The 23,823-nt window shown below is 49.7% G+C and overlaps 1 long non-coding RNA gene and 2 pseudogenes across 2 annotated transcripts in view, besides 5 other annotated features; 1 reads left to right on the top strand and 2 right to left on the bottom strand.

The window, feature by feature from the left end:
• Positions 1 to 23,823, top strand: part of FER1L4 (fer-1 like family member 4 (pseudogene)) — a 48,826-nt pseudogene that overhangs the window by 3,073 nt on the left and 21,930 nt on the right. The window contains exons 6-28 of the transcript NR_119376.1: positions 145 to 186; positions 523 to 693; positions 1,171 to 1,231; positions 1,349 to 1,480; positions 1,739 to 1,801; positions 1,883 to 1,967; positions 2,224 to 2,383; positions 2,501 to 2,684; positions 2,772 to 2,958; positions 3,566 to 3,927; positions 4,269 to 4,377; positions 4,546 to 4,717; positions 4,804 to 4,924; positions 5,376 to 5,476; positions 8,736 to 8,823; positions 8,897 to 9,013; positions 19,214 to 19,366; positions 20,397 to 20,550; positions 20,680 to 20,804; positions 21,228 to 21,362; positions 21,478 to 21,651; positions 22,079 to 22,195; positions 22,290 to 22,451. The product of NR_119376.1 is annotated as a fer-1 like family member 4 (pseudogene) (transcript). The remainder of the gene's footprint in view (positions 1 to 144; positions 187 to 522; positions 694 to 1,170; positions 1,232 to 1,348; positions 1,481 to 1,738; positions 1,802 to 1,882; positions 1,968 to 2,223; positions 2,384 to 2,500; positions 2,685 to 2,771; positions 2,959 to 3,565; positions 3,928 to 4,268; positions 4,378 to 4,545; positions 4,718 to 4,803; positions 4,925 to 5,375; positions 5,477 to 8,735; positions 8,824 to 8,896; positions 9,014 to 19,213; positions 19,367 to 20,396; positions 20,551 to 20,679; positions 20,805 to 21,227; positions 21,363 to 21,477; positions 21,652 to 22,078; positions 22,196 to 22,289; positions 22,452 to 23,823) is intronic.
• Positions 116 to 2,813, bottom strand: LOC124904891 (uncharacterized). The gene is made up of 2 exons (XR_007067570.1): positions 1,154 to 2,813; positions 116 to 1,040 (listed from the first exon to the last, which is right to left on the bottom strand). It is a non-coding gene; the product is annotated as an uncharacterized LOC124904891 (long non-coding RNA).
• Positions 2,476 to 2,805: a silencer, noted in NCBI's record as "silent region_12860". NCBI's record gives its function as "represses an Ori minimal core promoter by ATAC-STARR-seq in GM12878 lymphoblastoid cells {active_cell/tissue: GM12878}" and the evidence as "EXISTENCE:reporter gene assay evidence [ECO:0000049][PMID:35858748]".
• Positions 4,838 to 5,338: an enhancer, noted in NCBI's record as "H3K4me1 hESC enhancer chr20:34187074-34187574 (GRCh37/hg19 assembly coordinates)". NCBI's record gives its function as "activates a minimal SCP1, AML or CMV promoter by ChIP-STARR-seq in naive H9 embryonic stem cells {active_cell/tissue: H9 hESC(naive)}" and the evidence as "EXISTENCE:reporter gene assay evidence [ECO:0000049][PMID:30033119]".
• Positions 13,434 to 13,933: an enhancer, noted in NCBI's record as "H3K27ac hESC enhancer chr20:34178479-34178978 (GRCh37/hg19 assembly coordinates)". NCBI's record gives its function as "activates a minimal SCP1, AML or CMV promoter by ChIP-STARR-seq in primed H9 embryonic stem cells {active_cell/tissue: H9 hESC(primed)}" and the evidence as "EXISTENCE:reporter gene assay evidence [ECO:0000049][PMID:30033119]".
• Positions 13,934 to 14,435: an enhancer, noted in NCBI's record as "H3K27ac hESC enhancer chr20:34177977-34178478 (GRCh37/hg19 assembly coordinates)". NCBI's record gives its function as "activates a minimal SCP1, AML or CMV promoter by ChIP-STARR-seq in primed H9 embryonic stem cells {active_cell/tissue: H9 hESC(primed)}" and the evidence as "EXISTENCE:reporter gene assay evidence [ECO:0000049][PMID:30033119]".
• Positions 15,523 to 16,023: an enhancer, noted in NCBI's record as "H3K27ac hESC enhancer chr20:34176389-34176889 (GRCh37/hg19 assembly coordinates)". NCBI's record gives its function as "activates a minimal SCP1, AML or CMV promoter by ChIP-STARR-seq in naive H9 embryonic stem cells {active_cell/tissue: H9 hESC(naive)}" and the evidence as "EXISTENCE:reporter gene assay evidence [ECO:0000049][PMID:30033119]".
• RPL37P1 (ribosomal protein L37 pseudogene 1) lies at positions 15,867 to 16,192 on the bottom strand (annotated as a pseudogene).

Below are 23,823 nucleotides of genomic sequence, written 5' to 3'. Positions count from 1 at the left end.
GCCCAGGCAGACCCTGGAAAGGGAGAAGTAGTGCCCGGTTCCACTCTGGATCTGCCGATTCAGTGACCCTTGGACGTGTGCTGAGCAGGTGCCGCTCTGTAGTTAGGAATGTTCCTCTTAGTCCTTTCATTTATTATTCCCCAGCTTCGAGTTAATCATCCCCAATGTGGGCTTCCAGGAACTGGAGTAAGTATGTGGGGATGACCTGGAGTCACTGAGTCAGTCTTGGAGTTAGGAGCCAGTGATATGGGGGCAGCCCCAGGGTCTTGGGTCAGAACTGAATCAGTTCCAGGGTCAGAGGTCAGTCCTAGAATCAGAGGTCAGTTCTGGAATTAGAAATGTCCCAGGGTTAAGAGTCTGTCCTGGGATCAGTGAAGTCAGCCACAAGGTCAATAACTGGTCCTAGGATCAGTGGGATCAGTTCAAGGGTCAGGGGTCAGTCCAAGGCTCCAGGAAGTCAAGGGATTGCCTGGAGATGGGTGATGGGTTCCAGGCATGTCCCTTGAGGGTCTTTCCTATCAGGCCTGGGGAGGCCCAGCTGGAGCGGCGGGCAGTGGCTCTAGGCCGCAGGCTAGCTCGAAGTCTAGGCCAGCAGGACGATGAAGAGAATGAGCTGGAGCTTGAGCTGGAGCAGGACCTGGATGATGAGCCTGACGTGGAACTTTCTGGTGTTATGTTCAGCCCCCTCAAGAGGTAACTTGTACCCACGGCACACCTGCTCCCACACCCATCTGCCCTCACAAACACACAGTCCCAGGGGGTGTGGGAAGGGTGGATTCTCCAGTCACTTGCTCATAGGCATAGACACTGCCATGTTCATACACATAGTTACAGTGGCTCACACACATGCAGGGGATGAAAGCTTGATGAGGGCAAGATTTGTCTCTTCACTACAGCGTCCCAGTGCTTGGGACAGTGTTAGCTCATAGTAGGTACTCAATAAACCTCTGTTGCATGAATGAATGGTTTCGGGCTCCAGGAATGAGTCAAATTGTGGGTGCAGGGTTGAGATGGAGGCAGCAAGACATGACCTGAAGGACCTGGAATCCAAAAATTCAGAGGGAGAGAAAACATCATTCCCAGCACCAAGCAAGTGTGTGTGTGTGTGTGCGCGCGTGTGCGTGTGCAGGGGAGGGACCAAGTGAGTGCTAACCTTAAGCTTCTCTCCAGCCGCGCCAGGGCCCTGGCCCATGGGGATCCCTTCCAGGTGTCCAGAGCTCAAGACTTCCAGGTACTACTCTTTTTCCAGGGCCTAACCCTTGGAAGTACTACCTCTTCTGGCACGCATGTTCTTTCCCTCCACCCAGGCAGGTCTGGCTTCCTTTCCTCATCCTTCTGTACCTCTCAGGTGGGAGTCACTGTGCTGGAAGCCCAGAAACTGGTGGGAGTCAACATTAACCCCTATGTGGCCGTGCAAGTGGGGGGGCAGCGCCGTGTGACCGCCACACAGCGTGGGACCAGTTGCCCCTTCTACAATGAGGTGGGTGCCACCACAGAAGAGGGCGAGCCTGACAGAATGGGAGGGGTTGATGTGAGAACTATTCCCGGAGCGGGTGAGGCCTAGGTGGAAATGGAGCCAGATGCTGGGCCTATGGGTTGGGGTTGGGGGGTTGCTGATCCAGGAAAAGCTTGCAGTGAGAGGGTTGGGGGTGGGGGAAGGAGGGTCTTCTGAGCAAGAGACCTGGGTAAGCTGGCAGGAGCCCTTCACATCTGACCTCTCATCCCCACTTCAATTCAGTACTTCTTGTTCGAATTTCATGACACGCGGCTTCGTCTCCAAGACTTGCTGCTGGAGATCACGGTGAGTGGGGTAGGGGTGACCAGTGTCCTTCAGAGAAGGGGGGATGAGAAAGCTGCAGGACTAACACCACCTTCCCCCAAGGCTTTCCATTCGCAGACCCTCCCCTTTATGGCCACCCGGATAGGCACCTTCAGGATGGACCTGGGCATCATCTTGGACCAGCCAGGTATGGAATCGTCCCCTTATTGAGACTCTGCACGGACAAGGGCCCTAGAGATTGACCCTGCAGTGACTCCGCATGGACCCCTATACACTCACTTCGGAGAGGGCCATCTCTGGCGGAGGCTGAACTCTTGGCACTTCCGCCCCTCCCTGCTGAGCCAGAGAAGCCCTGGCCATTGTCCGTCACTCCGATAGCCTCACGGCCACCCTGTGCGTCCCGCCGGTCGCCCCTTACCCCTGGCTCGCCCCTTCGCCCTTAGATGGCCAGTTCTACCAAAGATGGGTTCCGCTGCATGATCCCCGAGACACCCGCGCCGGGACCAAGGGTTTCATTAAGGTCACCTTGTCCGTGAGGGCGCGCGGGGACCTGCCCCCTCCAATGCTACCCCCGGCCCCAGGGCACTGTTCGGACATCGAGAAGTGAGCCGGGGTGAGGTGGGGAGGAGGACATGGATCCGGGGGTGGCCGTGGGGCGCGGATAAGGGGAGGGGCCGAGATCCCAGTTTCTCCCCCCCCGCTCGGTGCCCCCTCCCCTAGGAACCTGCTCCTGCCGCGCGGGGTGCCCGCCGAGAGGCCATGGGCGCGGCTCCGCGTGCGCCTGTACCGCGCCGAGGGGCTTCCCGCGCTGCGCCTGGGGCTGCTGGGCAGCCTGGTCCGCGCCCTGCACGACCAGCGCGTCCTGGTGGAGCCCTATGTGCGGGTGTCTTTCCTGGGGCAGGAGGTAAGTCCCTCCGGGGCCCACGGCGCCGCGGCTCCGGCCCCGACTCCGCGCTGATCTCCCTTCTCCTGTCTTTAACGCCACCTTCAGGGCGAGACGTCGGTGAGCGCCGAGGCGGCGGCGCCCGAATGGAACGAGCAGCTGAGCTTCGTGGAGCTCTTCCCGCCGCTGACGCGCAGCCTCCGCCTGCAGCTGCGGGACGACGCGCCCCTGGTCGACGCGGCACTCGCTACGCACGTGCCGGACCTGAGGCGGATCTCCCATCCGGGCCGCGCGGGTGAGCGCTTCTGGCCGCGGCAAATCTGGCCTCACTCGCCTCGGTCCATAGGGCTCCATAGGGCCCATTCCCAACCGCAAGCCCCATCCTCGCGACCCCGCTCCGCCTAGGAGGGCTGGTCCGCCCGCAAAACAAACTGCTTCAAGCCGCCCCCAGACTGTGAACCCCACCATCGGTTTGGCTCCGTTGGCAAAATTCTGACCACAACCGCCTGTCCAGTAACCAGCCCAGTCCCACCCTTCTACAGCTGTGCACACGCTGACACTGCCGGTCCACTCCTTTCCCCGACCCCCAGGCCTGGCCGATCGCCCGTAGCTCCGCCCCAATCCCGACCCCGCCCCCAGGGCTCAGGCTGCGTCCCCCGAGGCCGGGCTCCCGCGATTTCCAGCTCCTTGGGGCGCTGAGCTGTTTTGGAGGCGCCCCAGGTCGTGTTCCACAGCGGCGCGTCCGCAGCTGCTGGCCAACTTCTTCCGTTTCAGAGCGGCTTAGCCCCCCTCCCCTGCCCTCACCCCCGAATACTTGGAGGAGATCAGGGTGAGGTGCAGAGATTTACCAGCACTCGCCCTCCCCACGCTCCCCTCCAACACGCTTCTCTTGTTCCCCACAGCGGGGTTTAACCCTACCTTCGGCCCGGCCTGGGTGCCCCTCTATGGCTCGCCCCCCGGCGCGGGGCTCCGGGATAGTCTTCAAGGTCTCAACGAAGGCGTTGGCCAAGGCATTTGGTTCCGCGGCCGCCTTCTGCTGGCTGTGTCCATGCAGGTGTTGGAAGGGAGAGCTGAACCTGAGCCTCCCCAGGCCCAGCAGGGGTCCACGTTGTCCCGGCTCACCCGAAAGAAGAAAAAGAAAGCCAGAAGGGATCAGACCCCAAAGGCGGTTCCGCAGCACTTGGACGCCAGCCCCGGTGCCGAGGGGCCTGAGATCCCCCGTGCCATGGAGGTGGAGGTGGAGGAGCTGCTGCCGCTGCCAGAGGTGGGGGCTGGGGGGTAGCAAAGGGGGCGGGGTCACCTCAGCTCTGGAAGGTGGAATCCACTCTCAGGCATTAAACACCACGACAGGGGTCTCAATTTGGGGGCCTGGGCGAAGAGTGAGGTGTGTGCCCACATGGGCTCTGGTATATGCACACATGTTGTGGGAGAGAGGACCCATACCCAGGGCCAATGCTGGGGCCGGGAGGAGGGAGAGGGAGTAAGAAACCTGCAGTGACTTCCAAGCCTTGGTCGCACTTCTTTCTGTGGGCAATGCGGCCAAGCATAGTCCAGGCTGTTCCCTGGGAGAGTAGGTGCTGACTCCAGCCTGATGGCCTCCCCCAGAATGTCCTGGCGCCCTGTGAAGATTTCCTGCTTTTCGGTGTGCTCTTCGAGGCCACCATGATCGACCCCACCGTGGCCTCCCAGCCCATCAGCTTCGAGATCTCCATTGGTGTGTGGCCTAGCCGAACCCCTGAGTGCCATTTCAGACCTTAGAACCCTGGAAGGGGTGTTGACTTTCAGTAAGGGGCAGGTTCTGACTTCTGTTGAGGCAGAGGTGGTTGAGGGGGGGTTCCAGCCCTCAGCCTGGCGCCCACTGACCCTTGCTGCTCTGGGGCAGGTCGCGCAGGCCGTCTGGAGGAGCAATTGGGCCGAGGGTCCAGGGCTGGGGAGGGAACTGAGGGTGCAGCCGTGGAGGCTCAGCCTCTGCTGGGAGCCAGGCCAGAGGAGGAGAAAGAGGAGGAAGAACTGGGGACCCATGCTCAGCGGCCTGAGCCCATGGACGGCAGTGGGTGAGTGCTGCCGGTGGCTGGAAGGGGGGGTTTGGGAGGTCTCCAGGAACCCAGAATGCCCGCGAAGCCTCCTCTCCATCTGCCAGGCCATACTTCTGCTTGCCCCTCTGTCACTGCAAGCCATGCATGCATGTGTGGAGTTGCTGGGAGGACCACACCTGGCGCCTGCAGAGCAGCAACTGCGTGCGCAAAGTGGCCGAGAGGCTGGTAAGGGCAAGGCTGGCGCCCACAGGGAGAGACCGGGCCGTAGGGACGCCTAGGACACTGCAGCCTTTGAAGGAAGCTCTGCAGTGGGGCTAATGGGCAGGCACTAGAGAGCCAGCACCTTGCTGGTGCAAGGCCAGGGGGGCAAGGGCCAAAGAGCACAGCTTCTGGGCGAACCGAGGATGCCAGGAGTTGTGGGAGGACAGAGTTTCAGAATTGGTGGACCCAGGAAGGGACTGGATGAAGGAGATGGGTAGAGGTACGGATGGTGGGGCCGCACATTTGGTGGAGCCAGTAGCGGGCTAGAAAGATGGAGCCATCAACCTGATGGAGCCAAAGAAGGGCAGGCCAAGAGGTGTGGTCGTGAGTGGGTGGGGCCTTGGGTGGGGGTGTGGTCTACAAGAGGTCTGAGTCAGGGACCCTCAAGACTCTGACCCTCTCCCACGTTGCACAGGACCAGGGGCTGCAGGAGGTTGAGAGACTGCAGCGCAAGCCGGGGCCTGGCGCCTGTGCACAGCTCAAGCAGGCACTGGAAGTACTGGTGGCTGGGAGCAGGTGAGCTGAGAGCCACTCCTACTGCTGCCTGTACTTGGGCCAACTCCAGGGCAAGGGAGACTCTCGGTGGCTGTCTGGACCCAAGGGCAGCTTGCAGCTGCATTTGCTCAGCACCTTACAGAAAAATGAGAAGACAATTATTCCTATCCAGGGAGCTGATGAGATTATTGGGGGTTAGGCTTCCCCTGATTCTCTGGCACCTCAGCTGTTTTCCATCTCCATGAGTTCCCTTTCCCACGCTCCTAGAGGCTTATCCCGTGTCTCTTCAAACCTCGCCTCCTTTCTTTCACACTTGTTCCTGCTAATCACCTTCCCACACCCAGTCTACCTCCTTGCCGGCTTCTGCATCCATCTGCTCTCCTCCTTTCCTGCTCCAGTGACCACAGCTGTGATCTGGATTTCATCACTGGAGGAATTAGTTCTGTAATTGTCAATTTTCTCCCCTTCATCATTGATTGGTCCCTAGTTACCAGGTCATTGCTGTAACCACATAAACATGTTCGGCCAGGTGCGGTGGCTCACACCCGTAATCCCAGCACTTTTGGAGTCTGAGGCGGGCAGATCATTTGAGGTCAGGAGTTCAAGACCAGACTGGCCAACATGGCGAAACCCAGTCTCTACCAAAAAAATACAAAAATTAGCCGGGCATAATGGTGGGTACCTCCCAGCTACTTGGGAGGCTGAGGCAGGAGAGTCACTTGAACCTGGCAGGTGGAGGTTGCAGTGAGCCAAGATTGCGCCACTGCACTCCAGCCTGGGTGACTGAGCAAGACTACGTCTCAAAAACAAACAAACAAGAAAACAAAAAAAAAACATGTTCTAGTTACTTCCATCTTTGACCTTCACTACTGCCCTGAATTCCATTACCTGCTCCAGGTACTTAAGTGATTTTCAGATCCTCTTCTCAAAAGGGTTCTTTATTTGATAACTATTTATGGCACTTACTATGCCAGACACTGTTTTAGGCACAGGAATATCAGTGAAAAAGCATTCCTGCCCACAAAAATCCCTGAAGTTGGCCAGGCACAATGGCTGATGCCTGTAGTCCCAGCTACTTGTGGGAGGCTGAAGTGGGAAGATCTTGAGCCCAGGAGTTCAAGGCTGCAGTGAACCATGATTGCGCCACTGCACTCCAGTCTGGGTGACAGAATGGGACCCTGACTTTAAAAAAAAACCCTGAAGCTTACATTTGGGTGTAGAGGTTGGGGAAGGGTGGAGACATGTGAAATAAGCATGTAAACAGATAGAAAAATACTAAGTAGGATAAGTGTTAAGAAAGAACGCGAAGCAAGGAAGCATTAGAAAGAGGTACTGCAATTTCAGAAAGGGTGTGGAGGGGAGGCCACCGTGAAGGTGACATGAAGCTGGAGGAGAAAGCCTGCCTGTAATGGTGTTCCAGGTGGAGGGGACAGCATGCCTGGAGTGTTTGAGGAGGAGCACAGAACCAGTGTGACTGCAGCAGTGTGACATAGTAGAAGAGGCTGGAGGAGGCCAGGGGAAGGAGGATGATGGTGGGGAGGGACAGATCCTGTGGGAGCCTCACAAGCCATTTTAATGACTTTGGCTTCTTCTCTGAGTGAAATGGGGGGGGAGGGGCAGTGAATGTTTTGAAAAGGAAAAAGATACACTCTAACACATAGATCCTTAAAAGGGATCAGTGGGGGAGGAAGCAGGGAGATTAGTAAAGGGGCTATTGTGATAATCCACGTGACAGGTGGCGATGAACTGATCTAGGGGATGGTTGCAGTGGAGATGGAGTGCTGTGAATGGATTCCAGAGAAAATTTGGAATTGGGGGTGATACCTCAGGACTTGCTAAGATTTTGGCTTGTGGGCTGGGCATGGTGGCTCACACCTGGAATCCCAGCACTTTGGGAGGCCAAGGTGGGAGGATCAATTGAGCCCAGGGGTTTGAAACCAACCTGAACAATATAGGAAGACCTTGTCTCTATGAAAAATACAAAAGTTAGCTGGGTGTGGTGGTGCACACCTGTAGTCCCAGCTACTCAGGAGGCTGAGATGGGAGGATGGCTTGAGTCCAGGAGTTTAAGGCTGCACCAACTGCATAGTTATGCAAGCCAAAATCTTCTTTTTTTGGAAAAAAGAAAAAAATCTGTTTTCAACAGAAAACAAAGGAGAAGGTCTGATGGAAGCAGGGATGAGGTGGGATCTGAGGGAAGGCAGATAGTAGGAGCTCAGTTTTGGACATGTTAACTGTGAAATTCTTATTGAATTGTAAGTGGACATGTGTGGTAGGCAGTTAGCTATATGAGTTGAGTTCTGGGGAGAATTCTAGGCTGGAAATGTCAATTTGGGAACTATCATTATGTAGATGGAGCTGGATAACAGCATTAACAGAGCACAGAAAAGAGAAATCTGAGAACCTGGAGCGTTCCAGCATTTAGAGGCAGGGAGGAAGCAGGGACTCAGCCAAGGACCCTGATCAGGAGAGGCAGTGAGGTAGGAGGCTGTAGGTGGTCACTTTTCTGTTCTCACCATGCTCAACCTTTCAGCGTCAGTAGACACAGTTGTTTCACCATTTTGGCCAGGCTGGTCTCGAACTCCTGACCTCAAGTGATTCACCGCCTCGGCCTCCCAAAGTGCGGGGATTACAGGCCTGAGCCACCACACCTGGCCAGATTCTGGATATTTTTTGAAGGTAGAGCATAAAGAATTTGCTGATGAATTGATGTGGAATAAGAGAGAAAGAGCAGTGAGAGATGACTCGAAAGTTCTGAGGTGAAATAGGGTTTTTGTTTTGTTTTGTTTTGTTTTGCGGGGGGGATCATTGGAAAGTATGCATTTGGCTTGGGCATGTAATGTTCAAGCTATACGTTAGCCAAGCTGGTGGAGACGTCTGAGGCTTCAATGTGCTTAGGAATCCCCGAGGGCATAAACGCAGCTTCTGATTCAGCAGGGCCTGGGGTGGGGCTGAGGTCCTACAGTTTTAAATAGCCTGCAGGTGATACCAGTGCTGTTGGTCCATGGGCCACACCTGGGGTAGCCAGGGTAGTAGGTGGTTAAGTATTAGCGAGCTCTGGAGCTCAAGAGCAAGGCTGGCCTTAATGATTTTTGGGAGTGGTCCAAATAGAGATAGGCCAGCTTTGCAGGAGAAAGGGTGCCTCTTCAGAGCCCAAGACTGAGAGGGCTATGAGGGAGGCTGGGGGTGGGAGGTCAGCTCAGAGCAAGTGGCCCCAAGGTCACTGTCCTTCTCCTTTCCTTTGATTCCTGTCTGCTGTGCACATCCCTGCTCACTGCAGACAGTTTTGCCACGGTGCCGAGCGCAGGACGATGACCCGGCCCAATGCCCTGGATCGATGCCGAGGGAAACTCCTGGTGCACAGCCTGGTACGGCCTCGGGAAGGGACTCAGGGGCGCCTAGCTGGGGCCTTCCGCTCATGCTGTCTTTTTGCCCTCCCAGAACCTTTTGGCTAAGCAAGGACTGCGACTTCTACGCGGCCTGAGACGGCGCAATGTGCAAAAGAAGGTGGCACTGGCCAAGAAGCTCCTGGCAAAACTGCGCTTTCTGGCTGAGGAGGTAATGCCTCACTCACCCCACTTTCCTACCCTGTACACCCTTTTCCCTAAGCTTTTGAACCATTCCAGAGGCCTCGGGCAGGTGTGATTTAACATTTTTCCTTTGGAATGATGCCAGGGCTGGGACTAATTGCTGTGGGCATAGGACCAAGATTCATTTGCAGTAGCTAAGGGTGAGGACAAGAGTTCTAGAATCCAGCAGAGACCCAGGGAACATTCAGGATTTCTTTGGATGAAGATTTGAGAGTAGGCTGCCTTGAGCATGACCTCCCTTGTCTGAAGCACTAAATATATACATACATATATATATATATATATATATATATATATATAACATATTGTGCTGCTGATGGGTATGTGAGATGTTCCCAATGGGTTGTGATTAGAAACAATGCTTCCGAGACCATTTTGGTACATGTCCTGGTGCTTTTCTATGGCAGTGGTTCTCAAACTTTTTGGTCTCGGGACAGGTCTCAGATTACACCACTGCACTCCAGCCTGGGTGACAGAGACTCTATCTCAAAAAAAAAAAAAAAAAAAAAAATGGAGATGGGGTCTTGCTGTGTTGACCAGGCTGGTCTCAAACTCCTGAGCTCAAGCAGTCCTCCTGCCTTGGCCTTCCAAAGTGTTGGGATTACAGGTGTGAGCTGCCATGTCCAGTCACAAAAATCTTCGAGTGTTGGCAAGCTGTCAAGCTCACAATGGCAGATACAAGACACATACTTTTTCTGAAATTGTAATTTTATTCTGCCTCCTGGGTTCAAGTGATTCTCCTGCCTCAGCATCCCAAAGTGCTGGGATTACAGGTGTGAGCCACCACAACTAGCCAAAGTTGTAATTTTCACTTGCTTTGTTTCTGATTCTAGGGGGAAAGCTTTCATTATTTATTAAGTTTGATGTTAGCAGTGTTTTTCATAAATGCCCTTTATCAGGTTGAGGAAGTTCTCTTCCATTCCTAGTTTTGCGTTTTTATTGTGAAAGGGTGTTAGATTTTATCGAACTTTTTTTCTGTGTCTATTAAGATGATCATGTTTTTTTCTTTTTTGTTCTGTTACTGTGATGTATTACACTGATTGATTTCCTTAGGTTGTACTATCCTTGCATTCATGAGATGAATTCCTTTTATCAATGGTGTATATCCATTTTTTAAATACGTCATTGGATTTTCTTCAGGACTTTTGCATCTGTGTATTTATAAGGGATATTGTTTTGTAATTTTCTTTTTTCTTTTTTGATTTAAAAAAAAAGTACTTAAAAAGTAGAGATGGGGTCTTCCTGTGTTACCCAGGCTGGTCGTGAACTCCTGGGGCTCAAGGGATCCTCCATGCCTCGGCCTCCCAAAACGCTGGGATTACAGGCCTAAGTCACCACGCCCGGCATGTAATGATTTGATGTCTTTTCTTGTGATTTATCTATCTTTGATATCAAGGTAAAGCTGGCCTCATAGAATGAGTTACGAAGTGTTCCTCCCTCTTCTATTTTTTGGAAGAGTTTGAAAAGGATTGGCGTTAATTCTTCTTCAAGTGTTTGGTAGAATTCACCAGTGAAGGCATCTGGTCTTGACTTTTTTTGGGAAGTTTTTGACTGCTGAGTCAATCTCTTTAATTGTTATAGATTTGTTCAGATTTTCTATTTCTTCTTGAGTCAGTTTAGATAATTTGTATTTCCAGGAATTTTATAACTTCATCTTAGATAATCCAATTTGTTATTTTATACTTGTTCATGGTATTCTCTTACAATCTTTTTATTTCCATAAGGTTGCTAGTAATGTCCTTCCTTTCATTTCTGATTTTAGGTATTTGTGTCTTTTTTTATTTTTTATTTTATTTTTTTTATTTTTTTGAGACGCAGTCTCTCTCTGTCACCAGGCTGGAGTGCAGTGGCACAATCTTGGCTCACTGCAATCTCTGCCTGATTACAGGTGTAAGCCACCATGCCCGGCCAGCCTAGTCTTTTTAAATTTACTGTTTTGTGATCTAACATATGATGTATCCTGAAGAATGTTCCGTGAGTGCTTGAGAAGAATGTGTACTCTGCTGTTATGATGGAGTATTTTGTATGTGTCTTCTAGGTATAGTTGGTTAGTGTTGTTTTAAGTCTATTTCCTTAATAATATTCTGTATAGATGTTCCATCTGCTATTGTAAGTGGTGTACTGAAGACTCCAACTATTGTAGAACTGTTTGCCTGATATATTTAAAATTTCTATTATTTCCTTTTGGTTCCAGTTTTCAACTGTTTGCTGAAATCACCCATCTTTTAATTCTTGTGTACTTTCCTCACTAGATCATTTAGATTTCTATCACAGTTATTTTAATATGCTTATCTAATAATTCCAACATCTGGGTTATCTATGCATCTACTTCTATTGATTATTTCCTCTTGACCATGAGTTTTGCTTTAACTCCGTCCTGTAATTTTTTTTATCATATGCCTGGATATTTGTATAAAACATTAGTGACTAAAATAATATATATGTCCAGGAAATGGCATTTCTCTTCTTACACTAGGCCTTACTCTAGAGAGTGAGGACCAAGTCATTATGCTTTGTATTTGAAATGGGCTTAGTTGTGAATTTGGTTTGGTTCAGTTCACTTTGGGCTTCAAATGTTTTTTTGAAGGATCACGATTGTCCTTTCATCCAGGCTTAGAACTGAGAACTGGCAAGATTCCAGAAATCTGTTTCTTGTTCACACCCAAACTGCCAATTCTCCAACTCTGGGTAAGCTCTCCCTGCTTTACAAACCACCAACCAGGTGTTTGGGTTGCTGGGGCATTCTCTGTGCTTTTTGAGTCTGCTTCCTTTCCTCTGTGCCTTGTTAGTCCTGCTTTCCCTCCTCTGGCCTTTGGAGGGTCTCCACTTTACGTTGTAAAAGTCTAGAATGCATCAGAAGGGTTCTCTTGGCTCTCCAGCTGAGCCTGTAGCATCTGATAGCTGAAAGCCTAGTGGGGGAGGTTTCTCTCAGCCCTCCTACCTAACCCTCAGCCTTCAAAAGATGAAATCCCAGAGGACCACTTCTGGGTTTTTAAATTCTCTTCCCTACCACCTCCTTCTAAGGGCAGTTACTTTGTGCTTTTTTTTTTTTTTTTTTTTTTTGAGACAGAGTTTTGTTCTTGTTGCCCAGGCTGGAGTGGAATGGCATGATCTCAGCTCACTGCAATCTCCACTTCCTGGGTTCAAGCAATTCTCCTGCCTCAGCCTCCCAAGTAGCTGGGATTACAGGCATGTGCCACTATGCCTGGCTAATTTTGTATTTTTTTTTTTTTTTTTTTTTACTAGAGATGGAGTTTCACCATGTTCGTCAGGCTGGTCTCGAACTCTTGATCTCAAGAGATCCACCTGCCTCGGCCTCCCAAAGTGCTGGGATTAGAAGTGTCAGCCACAGTGCCCGGCCTACTCTGCACTTTCAAGAAACTTTACATACCTCAGAAAGATCTCAGCTCTCCTTCCCTGTTCCCAGCTTTTTGCATACCGCCCCTTAGCTCTAGGCGAGGATCCATAGGAAAGAGTTCGGAGGTACGGAAAGACATATTTTGTGGCTGTGGTCCCTGGGATTCTCATCTGGTATGCTACCTCACACATAGTCATTAAAAGTCTCTTAAAAGTGGATACTTTCTCCTTGTCCCCACTTCTGATGTTCCTTTTTACTACTGCTGTTCTGCCAGAGGTGGGAGTAGCAGCTGGAGGTCTCTCCTTGATTATGAAGAACTCATCATTTTCTGGAGTTTAGTTGATATAGGTTTCTTTGAATCCCCACTTCTCTGATGTGTTTTTTAAAATACGATTTTTAGTCTGGGCAACATAGGGAGACCCCCATCTGTACAAAAAATAAAACTAACGAGGCGTGGTGGCAAGCTCCTGTAGTCCCAACTACTTGGGAGGCTGAGGCGGGAGGACTGCTTGGGCCTCAGGGTTCGAGGCTACAGTAAGCCATAATTGTGCCACTGCACTCCAGCCTGGGTGAAAGCGAGATCCTATATCCAAAAAAATAATTGTGGGTGTGTATAATTTTACAATTTATTTGGATTATTTTGGTTGTTAGGGTATAAGTCTTTTTGTTGTTGTTGAGACACAGTCTGGCTCTGTCGCCCAGGCTGGAGTGTGGTGGCGCAATCTTGGCTCACTGCCTCCCAGGTTCAAGCGATTCTCCTGCCTCAGTTTCACTAGTAGCTGGGATTACGGGCATGTGCCACCATACCTGGTTAATTTTTGTATTTTTAGTAGAGATGGAGTTTCACCATGTTGGTCAGGTTGGTCTCAAACTCCTGACCTCAGGTGATCTGCCCACCTCGGCCTCCCAAAGTGCTGGGATTACAGATGTGAGCCACTGTGCCAGGCCGGGAGTGAGTCTTTCTACATCCAAACTAATAGTGGACCCCTCCACTGATTTTTATTTTTTTATTATTTTTTATTTTTTTGAGATAGAGTCTAGCTCTGTCGCCCAGGCTGGAGTGCAGTGGCGCAATCTCGGCTCACTGCAACCTCTGCCTCCTGGGTTCAAGAGATTCTCCTGCCTCAGCTTCCTGAGTAGCTGGGATTACAGGTGCCTGCCACCATGCCCAGATAATTTAAGTATTTTAGTAAAGACGGGGTTTCAGTAAAGACGGGGTTTCATTTTGTTGGCCAGGCTTGTCTCGAACTCCTGACCTCGTGATCTACCTGCCTTGGCCTCCCAAAGTGCTGGGCTTACAAGCGAGAGCCACCACGCCCGGCCCTCCACTGATTTAAAAAAAAAAATTACAGTGTTTTCCTCTGATGTACAATTTACATATAATGAAGTGTACAAATACATATATATTTTTAAGACAGAGTCTCACTCTGTCACTTAGGCTGGAGTGCAGTGGCAAGATCTCAGCTCACTGCAACTTCTGCCTCCAGGCTCAAGTGATTCTTCTGCCTCAGCCTCCTGAGTAGCTGGGAGTATAGGCATGCGCCACCATGCCTGCTAATTTTTGTATTTTTAGTAGAGATGGGGTTGCGCCATGTTGGCCAGGCTAGTCTTGAACTCCTGGACTCAAGCGATCTGGCCACCTCGGCCTCCCAAAGTGCTGGGATTACAGGCATGAGTCACCATGTCTGGCCAAGTGTACAAATCTTAACACACATTTGCTGAATTTTGGCAAATACATATATCTGTGTAACCCAAGTCCCTATCAAGATCTAGAATATGACTTTCACCCCAGAGTTGTTCCTTTATGTTCCTTCCCAGTCAGTCTCCATCCACCCCCATAGAGATAACTACTGATTTTTTCAATATATTTTGATTTTTTTCATTATAGTTTTGCCTGTACTAGATTTTAATACAATGCAATCATGCCATATGTATAGTCAGTTCTTGTTATTGGTGGTCTATAAAGTTGCTGCAAACACTGAATTAGCAAATACTGAATCACTGCCCCCAGAGAAATACAGGGTTAGGTTTCTAGTGGGCGATGGTCACATTTTTTTTGTCAACTGATCAGTACAAAACCTTGTTTTATGTGTGTTTGTTTAAAGATACTTTCTTTAATATAATATATTGTTGGCCATTGCAGTGGCTCACGCCTGTAATCCCAGCACTTTGGGAGGCCGAGGTGGGTGGAATCACCTGAGGTCAGGAGTTTGAGACCAGGCTGGCCAGCACGGCGAAACCCCATCTCTACTAAAAATATAAAAAATTAGCCAGGTGTGGTGGCCAGTGCCTGCAGTCCCAGCTTCTCTGGAAGCTGAGGCAGGAGAATCACTTGAACCCAGAAGGCAGAGGTTGCAGTGAGCTGAGATTGTGCCACTGCACTTCAGCCTGGGTGACAGAATGAGACTCTGTCTCAAAAAACAAAAACAAAAACAAAATGCTTACAGTATCAGAGCTCACAAAGGCAGAGTATTGCTTTATTCCAACTCAGGGCCCTTCAAACTTTTTTTTTAAATCTAAGTCTCAAGTGTGGTGGCTCACGCCTGTAATCCCAGCACTTTGGGAGGCCGAGGCAGGCGGGTCACTTGAGGTCAGGAATTCAAGACCAGCCTGGCCAACAAGGTGAAACCCCCTCTCTATTAAAAACACAAAAAGCTGGGTGTGTGTGGTGGTATGCATCTGTAATCCCAGCTACTCAGGAAGCCGAAGCCAGAGAATTGCTTGAATGCAGGAGATGGAGGTTTCAGTGAGCTGAGATTGTGCCGCTGCATTCCTCCAGCCTGGGTGACTGCAAGATTCCATCTCAAAAAAAAAAAAAAAAAAAAAAAAAAAAAAAAAAAAAAAATTTAAACCCATTTCCCGTTTAGAGAAAAAAAGTGCAGCTCACTGCCAGCACTCATTTAATTTTACATAAACTCATTCTTTGAGGCTGAAGAAATTATGACTGATTTTCAATATGAAAATAAAATATAAAAACCTTACTTGGAGTTATTTCTAAACAGAACTTGTCTCTAATCCTAATGTAACAGAAGTATATATGATGTTACATTAGGATTACAGGCAAGAGTATTCTCAAGGCAAACAGGAAATAGGTTAAAAAATTTCTTTTTGTATTTTAATAAACCAGAACACTTTTTGCATGACTCGTTGAATTTTTTTTTTTTCTTTTCTTTTTTTTTTTTTTTGAGACAGAGTCTTGCTCTGTCGCCCAGGCTGGAGTGTAGTGGCTCGATCTCGGCTCACTCTAACCTCCGCCTCCCAGGTTCAAGTGATTCTCCTGCCTCAGCCACCTGAGTAGCTGGGATTACAGGCGAGCGCCACCACGCCCGGCTTATTTTTGTATTTTTAGTAGAGACGGGGTTTTACCATGTTGATCAAGCTATTCTCGAACTCCTGACCTCGTGATCCACTCACCTCGGGCTCCTAAAGTGCTAGGATTACAGGCATGAGCCACCGCACCCGGCCAATTGTTGAAATTCTTAAGATGAACTGGATGCTGCAACAGGTACCCTCTTGGGTTTAGGTGTTGTTCCTTCACAGAATCCATGCCTGAATCTGCAGTATACAATTTTTAGGTGCCTCATTCGATCAGTCCCAGTGGTATTTTGTCTTTTAGCCAGTTATACTTCCTCTAGTGCTTGGCGGGGTAGCCACGTTTGCCACAGGTCGACTTCTGAAGTTGGCAGGCCATAGAGCCACAGTGGCGGCACAAAGTGTGTGTCTTATCGCGATGCTTTCCAAACGATGACGTTTCCTTTGTCATCTTGTTTCTGCGGCTTCAACCAAAGAAGGGTTAAAAATTTTTAGTAGAGGATGGGTGCGGTAGCTCATGCCTGTAATCCCAGCACTTTGGGAGGCTGAGGCAGGAGGATCACCCGAGGTGAGGAGTTTGAGACCAGCCTGGCCAGCATGGTGAAACCCCATCTCTACTAAAAATACAAAAATTAGTTGGGCATAGTGGCACATGCCTATAGTCCCAGCTACTCAGGAGGCTGAGGCAGGAGAATTGCTTGAACCTAGGAGGCAGAGGTTGCAGTGAGCCGAGATTGCACCATTGCACTCCAGCCTGGGTGACAGAGCGAGACTTAGTCTCAAAAAAAATTTTTTTTAATTTTTTTTTTTTTAATAAAGATGAGGTCTCACTTTGTCGCCCAGGCTGCTCTTGGACCCCTAAGCTCAAGTGATCCTCCCACCTTGGCCTCCCAAAGTGCTGGGGTTACAGGTACGAGCCACCATGCCTGACCTGTTCAAAGTTTTTGACTCTTTGCCCATACTCATGTGATTACAAAAGCACCAGGGGTATTGATTTGGGGGTTACAAATTTTAGCTAGTACGCAAATTTGCAAATACAGAATTCACAAATAATGAGGAAGGACTGTATTCTCTTGTGAGAGGCTGTTGTAAGATGCGTCCAAGTTGTTGCAGATATCTAGTTTCTTTCTTTTTATTGTTGAGCAATTTCCCATTGTATAAATATATCACAGTTTGTTTATTCATTCTCATATTGATGGACAGCTGTGCTGTTTCATGTTTTTAGCTAGTATGAATAAAGCTGCTATGAATATTCTTGGTTTTTTTTTTGTTTTTTTTTGTTTTGAGATGGAGTTTTGCCCTTGCTGCCTGGGCTGGAATGCAATGGTGTGATCTCAACTCACTACAACTTTCGCCTCCTGAGTTCAAGTGATTCCCCTGCCTCAGCCTCCCAAGTAGCTGGGATTACAGGCGCGTGCCACCTTGCCTGCCTACTCTTCTGTATTTTTAGTAAAGATGGGGTTCACCATGTTGGCCAGGCTGGTCTCAAACTCCTGATCTCAGGTGATCCACCCGCCTCAGCCTCCCAAAGTGCTGAGATTACAGGCATGAGCCACTATGCCCAGCCTCAGCCACCACGCCTGGCCTCTCAATGATATTTCAAGTCCTCCTGTGTGCCAGGCTCTGTATTAGGCCCTGGGGGTCAGCCCCTGCCATATTCCTTGCCCTTTTGAGGCTAATGTCCTAGGAAGACAGACTATACATCTGTAAATGAATATGAAAAATAATTATGATCTATAGGAATTGGTAAGAAAGAGGTTACAGAGGCTGAGGGGGTGGAGGAGAACCTGCTTGGGTAAGGTGGTCAGGCAAGTCTTATCTGCAAAGACAACATTGCAGCTGACACCCAGAGGATGGGGAGAAGCCAGCCAGCCATGGCAGAGTGGGTAGGAAGGGAGGACTCAAGGCAGGAAGACTGCTTAGGAGCCTGTCACAATTGTCTAGCCAAGAGTGGGTGGTCTTTTGGCTGGGCATGGTGGCTCGCACCTGTAATCCCACCACTTTGGGAGGCTGAGGTGGGAGGATTGCTTAAGTCCAGTAGTTTGAGACCAGCCTGGACAACATAGTGAGACCCTATCTCTACAAAAAAATTTAAAAATGAAAACATCGCAAGGCATGGTGGTGTGTGCCTATAGTCCCCAGAGACTCAGGAGGCTGAGGTGGGAGGATCACTTGGGCCCAGGATGTTGAGCCTGCAGTAAGCTATGATTGTGCCACTGCATTCCAGCCTCGGCAACAGAAAAAAAAAGCAGATGGTCTTGAAGTGGGGCAGGGAGAAAGGGAGAGAAGGGGGAAACTGCCAGGAATGGGTGATTGGATGTTGGAGAAGAGTGTCACCAGCCCAGGTATTTGGCTGATGTGATGGGCACCACATGTGCACACTGTGCACATTGGGGAAGATAAGACTGGGGAGGAGGGAAAGGTGAAGAGACAAGGTTGGCACCAGCTACCACGTGCATGAGCCTTGAGGACATTATGCCTAGTGAACTGGGCCAGGCACAAGGGCACGCACTATATGATTCCACTCATATGGAGGGCTTGTTGTAGTCAAATCCAAACACAGAAAGAAGAATGGTGGCTGCCAGGGGCTGGGATGGAGAGCAGTGAATGGAGAGGTATGGTTTAATGAGCAGAGTTTCTGTTCTGCAAGATGAAAAATGTTCTGGGGATGAATGATGGGGATGGTTGCATAATAACGTGAATATATTTCTTTTTTTTTTCTTTCCTTTTTTTTTTTTTGAGACGGAGTCTTTCTCTGTCACCCAGTCTGGAGTGCAGTGGAGCGATCTCGGCTCACTGCAAGCTCCGCCTCCCGGGTCATGCCATTCTCCTGCCTCAGCCTCCCAAGTAGCTGGGACTACAGGCGTCCGCCACCACGCCAGGCTAATTTTTTGTATTTTTAGTAGAGAGGGGGTTTCACCATGTTAGCCAGGATGGTCTCGATCTCCTGACCTCATGATCCGCCCACCTCAGCCTCCAAAAGTGCTGGGATTACAGGCGTGAGCCACCGTGCCTGGCATTGTGAATATATTTCATGCCCCTGAACCGTACATTTAAAAATGGTTAGGATGATGGTCAATTTTATAAGTATTTTTCCACAATTAAAAAAAAGAAGCCAAGTGTGGTAGCTCATGCCTGTGATCCCAGCACTTTGGGAGGCCAAGGCAGGAGGATCTCTTAAGCCCAGGAGTTCGAGACCAGCCTGCGCAACGTGGCCAAACCCCATCTCTACAAAAAGTAAAAAATTAGCCAGGCATGGTGACACGTGCCTGTAGTCCTAGCTCCTTGAGAGGCTGAGGTGGGAGGAATGCTTGAACCTGGGTGGTCAAGCTGCAGTGAGCCATGATAGTGTCACTGCACTCATGCCTGGGCGACAGAGTGAGACCCTGTCTCGGGGAGATAGAAGCTGGAGTGGCTATTTGGTCCGTTCAGTTCAAGCTGTGAGAGCAGGAGAGGTCGGCTCCAGATCCACCTCCGTGACCAGTTATCCACCCGCAGCCCCAGCCACCCCTCCCCGATGTGCTGGTCTGGATGCTCAGCGGGCAGCGCCGTGTGGCCTGGGCCCGGATCCCTGCCCAGGATGTGCTGTTCTCTGTGGTTGAGGAGGAACGGGGCCGAGACTGTGGGAAGATCCAGAGTCTAATGCTCACGGTGAGGGGACCCACGGGTGAGGGGCCGGGAGAAGTGGAGTGGAGCTTATAGGGCAAGGGTAGGATAGGCCTTGGGTAGAGGCCTGTGCTTCCCAGCTAGGGGCCCCTGAACACTTTCCAATTGTCCAAAACACCAGAAAGGGATTGTGCCTTTGCCTGGGGCAGCTTTGAAATCAGATAAACCCCAAATCTTCCCTAGCTCTGGGACTGCATGGGCCATTTTGCTGACTAGGCCCTGACAGATAGGCAGGGTACCAAAAACGAGAGAGTGTGACTCACCCCTTACAAGTGTGGCTGGTCTGGCCGGGAGTGGTGGCTCATGCCTGTAATCCCAGCACTTGGGGAGGCTGAGGCACGCGGATCACCTGAGGTCAGGAGTTGGAGAGCAGCCTGGCCAACATGGTGAAACCCCGTCTCTACTAAAAATACAAAAATTAGCCAGGTGTGGTGGTGTATACCTGTAATTCCAGCGACTAGGGAGGCTGAGGCAGGAGAATCTCTTGAACACAGGAGGTAGAGTTTGCAGTGAGCAGAGATCACGCCACTGCACTCCAGACTGGCAACAGAGGGAGACTCCATCTTAAAAAAAAAAAAAAAAAAAAAAAAAAGTGTAGCTGGTTTGTGGGCCAAAGATTTCTAAATGAGGTGTCCCTGGAAAAGATAACTGAAAAGGGTCCCTAGGAGGGAGAAGCCGTGACCCTTGGGGTTGGGGATGGGGAATGTAAACGTGTAGGGGGTGGAGGGGACAAAGGTGGGAGAGCAGAGCTCAGAGTGTAGTTAGGGGTCTGGGGAGTGGGGTACGGGAAGTGGCAGTGTTAGGGCAAGAGGTATAGGGAGTAAGAGTGTGAGGGTCATGGCGTAGGGTGGAGGGTAGGAAGAGGGTAAGGCTGGGCAGGTAGGGAGTGGACTGGGAGTTTGGCATGGTGTGGCGATGTGCAGTAGAGGTGTGCCCTGGGGAAGCAGGATTGCTAGGTCTAGCTGGGGTCATGAGAAGAGGCATCGGGGCCCTGACATGCCTTCTTCACACACAGGCACCCGGGGCAGCCCCTGGTGAGGTCTGTGCCAAGCTGGAGCTCTTCCTGCGGCTGGGCCTGGGCAAGCAAGCCAAGGCCTGCACCTCTGAGCTGCCCCCGGATTTGCTGCCCGAGCCCTCAGCCGGGCTGCCCTCCAGCCTACACCGGGACGGTGAGTGCAGAGGGTGGGCAGGGCAGGTATAAGGCCCACCTGGCTCTCTGCCCAAGGTGTGGGGCTCAGTCAGGGGACTTCAGTGGTTCCCCTGGGCAAACATGACACCTTCCTTGCCCCTCACCCCAGACTTTAGCTACTTCCAACTCCGGGCTCACTTGTACCAGGCCCGGGGTGTGTTGGCTGCAGATGACAGTGGCCTCTCGGACCCCTTTGCTCGAGTCCTCATCTCTACCCAGTGTCAGACCACACGGGTGAGGGCTGGGATGACATGTGGGTGGAAGGGACCCAGGAGACAAGTTAGGGTGGGTCTGAGCTTTTCCCCAAGGCCCCTCTCCTCGCACTCTGGGTTTGCAGAGCAGGGTATCAGGATGGGGTACTAGATGGCCCTAACTTAGCAGGTGATGTAGAACTGGAGGTCTTAGCGGCGAGGAGTCATTTTCTGGGGTTGACTTTAGGCCTGGACTCTGAGGGGCCAATTGCAATGGGGAGGCAGGGCTGTGAGGGGCTGGCTGCAACACCAACTGAAGATGCTTTCGTCTTCCTCACATCTCACTCTTCTTGTGATGAGCATTTACTTAAAGTATTCCTTCAGAGCAGGGGTGTTCGCATGGCATGCATGTTGGGAGCCTTCTCCTGATATCTGCTGCTACCCGCTTCTCTGTATGGCCCCCAAGGTCCTGGAGCAGACGCTGAGCCCTCTGTGGGATGAACTCCTGGTATTTGAGCAGTTGATCGTGGATGGGAGGAGGGAGCACCTGCAGGAGGAGCCTCCATTAGTGATCATCAATGTATTTGACCACAATAAGTTTGTGAGTGTGGCCTGGGCCCTCCCTGGGTTCCTGGCCAGGAGTTTCCCCCTTGATGCCCACCTTCCCTGGCTCCTGAGCCTCTTCCCCTTTGTCTTCACTGCCCTGCTCCCCCTAGGGCCCCCCCGTGTTCCTGGGCAGGGCACTGGCCGCCCCAAGGGTAAAGCTGATGGAGGACCCATACCAACGCCCAGAGTTGCAGTTCTTCCCCCTGAGGAAGGGACCCTGGGCAGCCGGAGAGCTCATTGCCGCCTTTCAACTCATTGAACTAGACTACAGTGGCCGACTTGAGGTCAGCATGCCCTGGCGTGGCTAGCACAGGCTGTGAGCCCAACTTGTTAGTCCATCAGGCCATCCAGCCCTAGGGAATATAAAACATGGATATGTCCCAGGACCAGCCTCCAGGTCTCTTTTCCCCAGAGAATAAAGACTGCAGGTTTGTCCTGAGGTCACCTCATTGGACCACTTGACCCCAAGGAACATTGCAAGTATTCATGTGCTAGGTTCACCTTGTTGGGCCATCCTGCATGCCTCAGACACCCTGCTCCCTTCCTGCACGAAGCTGCTTCCCGAGACCCCCTCCCTTCCACCAATCCAGCCTTGGTTGGTTCCTGTGCATTTACATTTCACCAGTACCTCTCCATATCCCCTCCCCACACCTAGGCTTTTCCTCCTTTGGCCTGATTCCTCTTCGCCCTCTGACTGTTTCCCTCCTACAGCCCTCAGTGCCCAGTGAGGTGGAGCCCCAGGATCTGGCACCCCTGGTTGAGCCCCACTCTGGACGCCTGTCCCTTCCACCCAACGTGTGCCCAGTGCTCAGGGAGTTCCGTGTTGAGGTATCACCAGGCACTCAAAGCCCCCTTGTTCCCCAACATCCGGGTGCCCATTTGTCTGGTGCAGGCCCCTGAATCTCCCATTTTCTGACCCCAGGTGCTGTTCTGGGGTCTTAGGGGACTTGGTCGTGTGCATCTGCTCGAGGTGGAGCAGCCCCAGGTTGTACTGGAGGTGGCTGGGCAAGGTGTGGAGTCTGAGGTCCTGGCCAGCTACCGTGAGAGCCCCAATTTCACTGAGCTTGTCAGGCATCTGACAGTGGTGAGGCCACGGGCTAGGGGAAAAGGGGGGCAGAATAGTGAAAGAGGGCAGTGGATGGTGACTTTCTACCTGGTTATCTTAGATGATCCAAGGGTCAGCAAACTCTCTATAATGGGCCAAATAGTAAATATTTTAGGCTTTGAGAGCCATCCAGTCTGTTGCAACTACTCAACTCTGCCATCGTAGCATGAAAACAGCCATAGATAATATGTAAATGAATATTTACAAAAACTGACAGCAGGCCAGACTCTGTCTATGGGCTGTAGTTTGCTGATTCCTGGATTAATTCATGGACTTGTGGTGCTCTCTAGGTGTTACTGTTATTCAGACCTCTTGAACAAGCCTCTTTGATTATTTTCTGTCTATCCATTATTGAGAATAGGGTATTGAAATCTCCAGCTATTACTAATGAATTGTGTATCTCTCTCTTTAATTCTATAACTTTTTAGTTTTTGTATTTTGAGGCTCTGTTGTTAGGTGCATATATGTTTATAATTGTTATATCTTCTAGATGAATTGACCTGTTTACCATTATAAAGTATCTGTTTGTCTCTAGTAATATTTTTTGTATTAAAGTCTATTTTCTCTGGTGGTATAACTACTCCAGCTCTCTGTGGTTACTATTTGCATGATATATTTTTTTCCTATACTTCATCCTTTATGTGTCTTTGAATCTAGAGTATCTCTTAGACAGCATGGAGTCGCATCTCTTTTTTTTAATGCAGTTAACAATCTCTGACTTTTGATTGGTATTTAATATGATCACATTTGATGCTGTTGATATTATTGGCTGAATTTACATCTGCCATTTTGCTGTCTGTTTTCTATGTCTTGTGGACTTATTATTCCTCTTTTACTGCTTTCTTTTGTGTTAAATAGATATTTATTATATTTTGATATTTATTAGTGTACTATTTTAATTTGCTGATTTTTACTTAGTAGTTGCTCTAGGGATTACAATATACATACTACTGTTTCACAGTCTACTTCAGATTAATACTAATTTAATTCCAGTAAAATATACAAACTTTTCTGTGGTATAGCTCTATTTTTCCTCTCTTTTGTGCTAAAATTGTCATATATATGTGTATATATGTATATATCTACAAATACATAAAATAAACCCACCAATACAGTAGTAAAATTGTTTCCCTTAGGATCCATTGATAGATATGGAATTCCATATATATATTTTATATATATATATATTTTATATATATATATATTTTATATATATATATTTTATATATATATATTATATATATATATTTTATATATATATATTATATATATATTTTATATATATATATTTTATATATATTTTATATATATATATTTTATATATATATATATATGGCCTTTAACCATAAAA

Source organism: Homo sapiens, chromosome 20 (assembly GCF_000001405.40).
Source record: "Homo sapiens chromosome 20, GRCh38.p14 Primary Assembly".
Taxonomy (NCBI): domain Eukaryota; kingdom Metazoa; phylum Chordata; class Mammalia; order Primates; family Hominidae; genus Homo; species Homo sapiens.
Note: the sequence above shows the minus strand (reverse complement) of the source record. Positions and strands in the feature narration are given on the sequence as shown.